A 10520-nucleotide genomic window follows, 5' to 3' on the forward strand; every position below is an offset into this window, starting at 1 on the left:
ATTTCTCTTATATGTTGACAAATGTTTGGCATAACCCATATGTAAGCCAACTATGAACAAAAGCTTTGATCAGACCTATTTCTTCCTCTTTGGTCACTCTTCCAAGAACTCCAATTTCATGATGTTGCTTTAGTAGAATTTAAAGAGCAGGCTAATACTGTGTAATTAATAGCATTTAGTTTTGTACCATCTCAGGATATTAATTACAAACAACAAAAGCTCACTCTGACTGATTAAACAGAAAAAGGGTTTATTAAAATATTATTGGGTAGATTATAGAACTCTTGGAAAAGCCGCAGAACCAGGCTTGAGGCTAAGCATATAGGGGAAATGTCCAAAAACCACACCACAAAACTAGCCTGGTGAGGAAGTTCTACTGCCACAGCGACTGCTCCACCATTGCTACATCATGCCAGGAACACATCTTTGCCTCCTCAGCCAGCCGCAAAAGGGAGCCACCACCCCTGCCAGCAAAATGTCTTCTGCAAGGAGACCCTCTTCCAATTGTTCCTTTCCAGAGCATAGCTCTGACTGGTAGAGCCTCCGTCACAGTGCGCACCCTGACTGCAAAACAGACTGTGAGATTTACTTTCTGGGTTCTACCTTGGGGAGAAGGAATACAAGTCTGTAAAATAGTCCATACATAGTGACAGTGTGCAAAGAGTACTGGAAAGCAAGGGAAAGGATTACATATATTTGCTACAGGCCCAAATTATCACTGGTTTTAGATCCAGGCAAGTTGAGACAACACCTGCACTGTCAGCCACATATTTGAAGCATCTGTCAGGAAATCCAGTTTTGCTAGCTGAAAATGACCTGGATGGATGCTGGGCTTTAAAAAAAAGAAAGAAACAAAAGAAAAGAAAGAAGAAACACTTAATACCTCAGGCAGCAGGCTGTACCCTAGAGTAAGGTAGACCTAACTGTATTTATTAATTGTGCTATGATGTTGACTGCTAAGATGTTATCATGGGTCCCAGACCCAGGGAATTGTTAGAATGATCAGAGCTAATATTGTGAGCTTAACAATTCCACCTGATATCTCCTCTATATCTTCCATTTACTTTTCTCCATTTCATTCTTTCTACCTTCATCCAGGTACCATCATCTCTCACTTGGACTAATCGTAAGAACCTCTTAACTGGTCTTCAACTCCCAATCCCCTATAAGCTAAACACCACTCTGCCAAAATGATCTTTCAAAAATACAAAGGCAGTTGTGTTATCCTGCCTGCTGTCCTTCCTTCAATGGCTTCCTGTTACACTTAGAAAAAATAGTTGAACGCCTTAACATTGACCCGTAAGGTTCTAATTGTTTGGCTGTTCCCGTAAGTCCAGTCCATGCAACGCTCCTCTCCCTGGGTTTGGCTTAACAGGCCCTGGTCTCTCTATTCCCGATATGTGCCAGGTTCGTTCTTCCCTCCCAGCCTTCACACATGCTGCTCTCTCAGCCAGGAACTCTCCCTGATGGACTTTCATGTTCCATACAAGGTTCAGGCAAACTCTCATGGATTCTTTCAGATGAGGTTAGTTCCCTGTTTTATGCTTTTATAAATCTGAACAACTCCTTCATGACACATGTAACCATTATACTTAAGTAATTATCAAGGTAACCATTTGTTTTGTTTAATGTCTGTTATCCTTGCTGAATTTAAATTCCATGTGTTATTCACCACTGCTATATGCCCAGCACCTCACAGTTCCTAAGACATATGAGGCCTCAATAAATATTTCTTGGCCAGATGTGGTGGCTCACGCCTGTAATCCCAACACTTTGGGAGGCCAAGGCAGGTGGATCACCTGAGGGCGGTGAAACTCCGTCTCTACTAAAAATACAAAAATTAGCCAGATGTGGTGGTGCATGCCTATAATCCCAGCTACCCAGGAGGCTGAGACTGGAGAATTGCTGGAACCCCGGAGACAGAGGCTGCAGTGAGCCGAGATCATGCCACTGCACTCCAGCCTGGGTGACAGATCAAAACTCCATCTCAAAAAAAAAAATGTTGAATGGTTTTTACAGTCCGGTTCATTTCTCTTTCCTCCTAGAAATGAAGACTTGGCCATGCAAGCAAGGGGAGGTGAGACCTGATACTGCCAGAGAAGGAATAGGGCACTGTCAACTCGCTAACTGGGTCCTAGTATTGGCTATGTAACCCTAGACAAGTTACTTTACATTTCTAGACCTCAGTTCAGCAGTTGGAACACGTGGACTTTGGATTTTCTTCTTCCTGGAACTTCCTTTATGCACTCATGTTTGTTACTCACCCATGTATTTATCCATTGTCCATGTCTGCTTGTCAGTTTTAGTTACCTCCTACCCCCACCTGTCCAAGGTGCTCTTGTCCTCAGAAGATCCCACTGGCATGAATAAGACAGACTTGGAAACTTTTATCCTAGATAAAACTGGTCTGGAACACATAAAAAGTATTTCCCCAACAATTTTGATTCACTTCAATTCCTGAAATCTAACTTCTGACTTTCAAAGAAAATTCCACTTTGGCAGCTGTACAGGTACCAACAACAGTTTACCCTTACCTGGAAGAAGAGCCTTGGAGGAGAAAACACACCATGTCGGTATGGGTGTGACAAAGTCTACTTTTTCTAGCACTCCTGGGGCTCACAGAGAAGGCATTTATCAAGGGGCGAGATGAAAGCAGACTCAGATTTCATATAGCCAGTTCTTGCAGTCCATGTCAGTAAAAGTGAAAAAGCCCAGCAATAATGCATTGTCTCATTAAGGCTAATGTGAGTAAGATAATTCAAGTATGTAGATTTCTGGTAGTGTAATTTTATCTCAACAAAGAACTTAGAACAATGAGAAAAGTAAATAGAAACCATAATCCTATCATAACAGCCCCTGAAACCTGTGAGCGCAAGGGGGATCTAGAATATTTCCAATGCCCCCTTGCAGTTAGTTAATCCCCTCCCAAAGGCACTGTTCAGATTCCTCACCATAGGTTAGTTTTCCTTATTCTGCATTTCCCTGACTAATAGTGTTGTTAAGCACGTTTTAATATGATTTATATACATAGAATCATACAGAACGTACTCTGCTGTGTTTGGCTTATTTGCTAAACATAGTGTCTTGATACACATCAAATTCCTGCTTTTTTAATACTTTCTTAAGTTTTCTTAATGCTAGGCAGTATTTCATTGTATGAATTTTCCATAATTTATTGATTTACCTGCAGATGGACATTTAGGTTATTACAATTTGGGGCTATATGAACAAAGTTGTTACGAATATTTATGTACAAGTCTTTCGTGGACATGTTATTTCTCTTAAATGAATATTTAGGGGCAGAGCTTCTTGGTCATAGCATGGTTGTATGTTTAACTTTATAAGAAACCGCCAAATTGTTTTCTGCATTGATTGTGCCACCTTACATTCATACTAGCACTGTATGAGAGTTCCAGGGGCTCCACCTCCTTGCCACACTTGCTTTGTCATTAATTTTAATATTAGCCATTTTTGTGGGTCTGAAATGATATCTTATGGGGCTTTTTAACTGCATTTCCCTGACTGATAATATGGTTAAGGATTTCACATGCTTTTTGGTCATTTATACATTTTCACTTGAACATAAATGTAGGTCTATTTCTGAGTTCTTTATGCTTTTCATTTATCTATATGTGTATTCATACACCAAAACCACACATTCTTGATTGATGAGCATTTATAGTAAGTATTGAAACCAGATAGTGTGAGACCTACAACTTTGTTATTTTCCAAGATTGTTTAAACTTTTCTAGATTCTTTGAATTTCCATGTAAATTTTAAATTTGGTCCATTAAGTCCTCCAAAAAAAAAAGCCAGCTGGGATTTTTATTAGGATTGCAAGGAATAAATAGATCAATTTAAGAGGACTGATACATTCAAAATAGTGTGTTATCCAATATGTGAACCTATATCTCTTCATTTATTTGGATCCTGTCTAGTTTTTCTCCAGATTGTTTTATTATTTTCAGTGTAGCAGACTTACAAATTTTTGTTAAATATATTACTAACATTTTATCTTTTATGCTGTCATAAAGTTATTTCTAAATTTTATTTCCAATTGTGTGGTGATGGTTTATAGAAATATAATTGATTTCTATATATTGACCTTGTATTCTGTGGCCTTGATAAAGTTCCATATTAGTTCCAATACATATTTCTATAAGTTTCTTAGGAATTTCTGCATGGGCAATTATGCCATTTGTGAGTAAAGACATTTGTGCTTCTTCTTTCCAATCCATGCTTGTACTTATTTTTCTTACCTTATTGCACTGGCTGGAACTTCCAGGAAATGTTAGAATAGAAGTAGTAAATTGGGATATACTTGCCTTGTTTCTGATATTAGGGGAAAAATATTTCACAATTAATATAATGTTAGCCAAGGCTTTTCATAGATGACCTTCATCGCATAGAGAAAATTTCTTTCTATTCCTAGTTTGCAAGAGTTTTATCCTCAATGCATGTTGAATTTTGTCAAATGCTTTCTCTACATCTATTCAGATGATATAATTTCTTCCTTTATTCAGTTAATTTGGTGAATTACATTTATAATATTAAATAAACCTTGCATTCTGTGACAAATCCTCTTAATATATTGCTAGACTCAATTTACTGATATTTTCTTAAGGATTTTTGCTTCTATGCTCCTGAGGAATAACGATCTGTAACTTTCTTTTCATTTAATGTCCTTGTCAAGTTTCAATATCAGGGCTACGTTAACCTGAAAAAGACTTGGTGAATATTCCCTCTTTCTCTGTTTTATGAAAGAAATTATGTATGATTGAAATTTTTATTTCTTAAGTGTGTGGTATAATTCACCAGTTAATCCTTTTGGACCTGGGGCATTCTATATGGGAAGGTTTTAAACTATGGGTTTTATTTCTGTAATAATTTTAGAGATTGTCTCAGTCAGGGTACAATGAGAGGAACAGAACCAGTTGGAAATGTACTTCAGAGATTTACTACAAGGACTCAATTTATGTGATTGCAAAGGCAGCTAGGCAAGTCTAAAATCCAGAAGTCAGGACATCAAGAGGGTAAGCTGGAACTCTGTCATAGGCTGAAGCTGTAATCCACACATATAATTTCTTCAGGGAAGATTTAGCTTGGCTTTTAAAGCCTTTCAACTGATTGAATCAGACCAGCCTGTATAAACTAGGATTTTCTCCCTTACTTAGAGTCAATTCATAATGGACTTTAATCACATCTACCTTCACAGCAACACCTAGATTAGTATTTGATTGAGTAACTAGGGACTGTCATGCAGCCAAGCTGACACGTCAAAAGACCATCACAGGGCTGTCAAGTTTTCATTTATGTGTTAGTTTTTTATTTTCAAGGAATTTGTGCTTTTCATCTAAGTTGTAGAATTCAATATGAAGTTGTTTATAATATCCACTCATTTTAAATATAACAATGTCACGCCTATCATTTGTGAAATGGTTTCATTTTTAAATATACAATATCATCGTGTGTGTGAAGGTACTCATGCCACAAACTAAATAAGGATAATAATGTTTGAAATAATGATAGTAGTCATAATAATAATTTTTAAGACCTAGGATTCATCTCTTATTCCTCTTTTCCTCACCTCCCACATACTACTTCTTCCTAGATCCCAAGTTCTGCCTTAAGCTTATTATCACTTCTCATCTTCTCATTATCTTCAATGTTCTTACCCTAATTAGAGCCACCATCACCCTCACCTGAACCACTGCAGAAGTTTCCTATCTTGTGTCCTGATTTCTATCTTGTCTCCGTATTCCTATCTTGTGCCACAGCAATCCCATATCAGAACAACCACAGCAATCATATAAAATATAGAGAAGATTATGTCCTCCCTAATTGAAATGATCAAATATCTTGCCATTGTATCTAGAGAAAAGTCTGAAGACCTTACTGTCCTACAAAGCACTTCATGCTGTGGCACTGACTCTTATGCTGACTTCATCATATCTTTCTTTCCTTGTTCACTAAGTTGCAGGAATATTGGCATTCTGGTGGCTTCCTTCCCTTTAAAGTAACCTTTTAACTGACTAAAATTGAAGTATAAATTAATAAAAGCTCACCAAGTACAGGTATACAACTTAATAAAGCTTCATAAGCTAAACAACCATGCAACCAATGCACAAATGAAGAAATAACATGTTACCAGCATCTCAGAAGCAGTCCACCTGGGAAGCAGGTTCTCAAAAGCAGTCCGAGTCACTACCAGCCCCCAAACATTAACTTTTTCCTGGCATCTAACACTGTACATTTGTTCTTCATGTTCTGAACTGTATATAAAGGGAATCATACAGTATGAACTCTTTGGTGCCTGGATTTTTTTTCCCCAAAATTGTGTTTGTGATACTGATTCATTTTCTGGTTTGTAGATATAGATCGTTGATTCTCATTGCTGTATGGTATTTCTCTATGAGAATATACTACCATTTATGCATCCATTTTATTGCTAAAAGGTATTTTAGTAGTTTCCAATTTGGAATTTTTAAAAATAGTGCTAATGTGAATATTTACGTATTTGTCCTTTTGTGACTATATGTACACACTTCTGTTAGGTACATACCTAGGAAAATATAATGACTGGGTCAGAGGATAGGGATATGCTCAGCTCTAGTGAATACTGTTAACTTTTCCAAATTCTTTCTACCATCTATTATTCCCATCAGCAGTGTGTGAAAGTTTCAATTGCTCCACACTCTGTCTAAACTTGGTATTGTCTATCTTTTTTCGTGTTAGCCATTTCGGTGGCTATGTGGAGATAACACGTTGTGACTTGAATTTGCATTTCTCTTATGAATGGTGAGATTAAACTCTTTATTATATGTTTATTGGAAATACAGAAATGCCCTTTCATGAATTGCCTGTTCAGGTTGTTCAGATATTTTTCTATTTGCTCATTTCTTGTTTTTTTGTTGATCTGTGAGTAGGAACACATGTGTATATATGTTCTGGGAACAAGCCCTTTGTTAAATATAGATATTACATACAGCTTCTCCATCTCTGTGGCTTGGCATTTTGCAATCTTGGTGGTGTTTTTGATAATCAGAAATTTTTAATTTTAATGAAATCCAATTTGTCATTTTTCCACCTTATTGGTATGCTTTTTATTACCTGATTAAGGAATCTTTCCTATTGACAAGATCTGAAGACATTCTCCCAGAGTTTAGAATTTTGTTTGTTTGTTTTTGGTTGTGTAATATATTTTTATTTTCTATGGGTACATAATATACATATTTATGGGGTACATGTGACATTTTGCTACACACATAGAATGTATAATGATCAAGTCACAGTATTTAGAATATCCATCACCGTGAGCATTTATCGTTTATCTGTGGTGAGTACATTTCAGTTCCTCACTTCCAGATATTTTGAAAGATACAACACATTCTCATTAACTATAGTCAGCTCACTCTAATATCAGTCATTAGAACTTGTTTATTCTATTTAACTATATGTTTGTACCCATTAACCAACCTCTCTTTATCCCCCACAACCCCATGCACATACACGCCTTTCCCAGCCTCTGGTAACTATCATTCTATTCTCTACCTTCATGAAATCACCATTTTTAGCTCCCACATATGATGGAACAGGTGATCATTGTCTTTCTGTGTCTGGCATATTCTATTTAACATAATGACCTCCATCCAGTTTCATCCATTTTGCTGCAAATAATATGATTTCCTTATTTTTATGGCTGAGTGGTATTCCATTATATATATATATATAATATTTTCTTTGTGCATTCATCTGTTGATGGACTCTTAGGTTGATTCCATATCTTTGCTATTGTGATAGTGCTGCAGTAAACATTAGGATGTGTATATCCTTTTGATATACTGATTTTCTTTCCTTCAAATAAATACTTAGTAGTGGGATTGCAGGATCACATGGTAGTTCTATTTTTAGTTATTTCAGAAATCTCCATACTGTTACCCATAATGGCTGTATTAATTTGCATACCCACCAATGGTGTATGAGAATTCTCTGCATCCTCTCAAGCATCTGTTATTCTTCATCTTTTTGATCATAGCCATTCTTGCTGGAGTGAGAGGATATCTCACTGTGGTTTTAGTTTGCATTGCCCTGAGGATTAGTGATGTTGAGCAATTTTTCATATACTTGTTGGCCATTTGTATATCTTCTTTTTAGAAATGTCTGTTTAGATCCTTTGCCCACTTTTTAACAGGATTGTTTGGTTTTTTGCTGTTGTTTGAGTTCCTGCATACCCAAAATATAATACTTATATTTTAAGAATTTTTTTATTAGGTTGGTGCAAAAGTTATCGTGGTTTTTGTCATGACTTTTTTTTTTTATTATACTTAAAGTTCTGAGATACATCTGCAGAACATGCAGGTTTGTTACATAGGTATACATTTGCCATGGTGGTTTGCTGCACCCACCAACCCATCATCTAGATTTTAAGCCCCACATGCATTAGGTATTTGTCCTAATGCTCTCCCTCCCCTTGTATTCCACCACCCCTGACAGGTCCTGGTGTGTGATGTTCCCCTCCCTCTGTCCATGTGTTCTCATTGTTCAACTCCCACTTATGAGTGAGAACTTAGGGTGTTTGGTCTTCAGTTCCTGCGTTAGTTTGCTAAGAATGATGATTTCCAGCTTCATCCATGTCCCTGCAAAGGACATGAACTCATTCTTTTTTATGGCTGCATAGTATTCCATGGTGTATATGTGCCACATTTTCTTTAGTCTATCATTGATGGGCATTTGGGTTGGTTCCAAGTCTTTGCTATTGTGAATAGTGCTACAATAAACATGTGTGCACATGTCTTTGTAGTAGAATGATTTAGAATCCTTTGGGTGTATACCAGTAATGGGATTGCTGGGTCAAATGGTATTTCTGGTTAGAGATCTTTGAGGAATTCCTGCATTGTCTTCCACAATGGTTAAGCTAATTTACACTCCCACCAACAGTGTAAAAGTGTTCGTATATATCCACATCCTCTCCAGCATCTATTGTTTCCTGACTTTTTTTTTCTTTTTTTTTTTTGGGTGGGGACAGAGTTTCACTCTTGTTGCCCAGGCTAGAGTGCAATGGCATGATCTCGGCTCACCACAGTTTCCGCCTCCTGGGTTCAAGCGATTCTTTAAATTATGTGTGGTGGCGCATGCCTGTAATCCCAAGTAGCTGGGATTACAGGCATGCGCCACCACACCCAGCTAATTTTGTATTTTCAGTAGAAACAGAGTTTCTCCATGCTGGTCAGGCAGGTCTCAAACTCCCAACCTCAAGTGATCCACCCGCCTCAGCCTCCCAAAGTGCTGGGATTACAGGCATGAGCCACCGCGCCTGGCCCCTGACTTTTTAATCATCGCCATTCTACCTGGAGTGAGATGGTATCTCATTGTGGCTTTGATCTGCATTTCTCTAATGTCCAGTGATGATGAGCTTTTTTTCATGTGTTTGTTGGCCACATATATGTCTTCTTTTGACAAGTGTCTGTTCATATCCTTTGCCCACTTTTTGTTGGGGTTGTTTGTTTTTTTCTTGTAAATTTATTTAAATTCCTTGTAGATTCTGGATATTAGACCTTTGTCAGATGGATAGATTGCAAAAATTTTCTCCCATTCTGCAGGTTGCCTGTTCACTCTGATGATATTTTCTTTTGCTGTGCACAAGCTCTTTAGTTTAATTAGATCCAATTTGCCAATTTTGGCTTTTGTTGCAATTGCTTTTAGTGTTTCAGTCATGAAGTCTTTGCACATGCCTATGTCCTGAATGGTATTGCCTAGGTTTTCTTCTAGGGTTTTTATGGTTTTAGATTTTACATTTAAGTCTTTAATCCATCTTGAGTTAATTTTTGTATAAGGTGTAAGGAAGGGATCCAGTTTCAGCTTTCTACATGTGGTTAGGCAGTTTTCCAGCACCTTTTATTAAATAGGGAATTCCTTCCCCATTGCTTGTTTTCGTCAGGTTTGTCAAAGATCAGATGGTTGTAGATGTGTGGCATTATTTCTGAGGCCTCTGTTCTGTTCTATTGGTCTATATATCTGTTTTGGTACCAGTACCATGCTGTTTTGGTTACTGTAGCCTTGTAGTATAGTTTGAAGTCAGGTAGCATGATGCCTCCAGCTTTATTCTTTTTGCTTAGGATTGTCTTGGCTATGTGGGCTCTTTTTTGGTTCCACATGAAATTTAAAGTACTTTTTTCTAATTCAGTGAAGAAAATCAATGATAGCTTGATGGGAATAGCATTGAATCTCTAAATTACTTTAGGCAGTATGGCCATTGATTCTTCCTGTCCATGAGCATGGAAGTTTTTCCAGTTGTTTGTGTCCTCTCTCATTTCCTTGAGCAGTGGTTTGTAGTTATCCTTGAAGAGGTCCTTCACGTCCATTGTAAGTTGCATTCCTAGGTATTTTATTTTCTTTGTAGCAATTTTGAATGGGAGTTCACTCATGATTTGGCTCTCTGTTTGTCTTATTGGTGTAAAAGAATGCTTGTGATTTTTACACATTGATTTAGTATCCTGAGACTGCTGTATTTGCTTATCAGC

General features: G+C 37.3%; 1 protein-coding gene and 1 long non-coding RNA gene across 2 annotated transcripts in view; one reads left to right on the forward strand and one right to left on the reverse strand.

Moving 5' to 3' along the window:
• SPRR2G (small proline rich protein 2G) overlaps nucleotides 1-10520 on the reverse strand; it is a 53697-nt gene that overhangs the window by 24486 nt on the left and 18691 nt on the right. The window lies entirely within an intron of this gene.
• The window catches only part of LOC101928009 (uncharacterized), a 17159-nt gene continuing 7089 nt past the window's right edge, over nucleotides 451-10520 (forward strand). The window contains exons 1-2 of the long non-coding RNA NR_110685.1: nucleotides 451-578; nucleotides 2046-2573. This is a non-coding gene — a long non-coding RNA (uncharacterized LOC101928009). The remainder of the gene's footprint in view (nucleotides 579-2045; nucleotides 2574-10520) is intronic.

This window comes from Homo sapiens, chromosome 1 (genome assembly GCF_000001405.40).
Source record: "Homo sapiens chromosome 1, GRCh38.p14 Primary Assembly".
Classification (NCBI taxonomy): domain Eukaryota; kingdom Metazoa; phylum Chordata; class Mammalia; order Primates; family Hominidae; genus Homo; species Homo sapiens.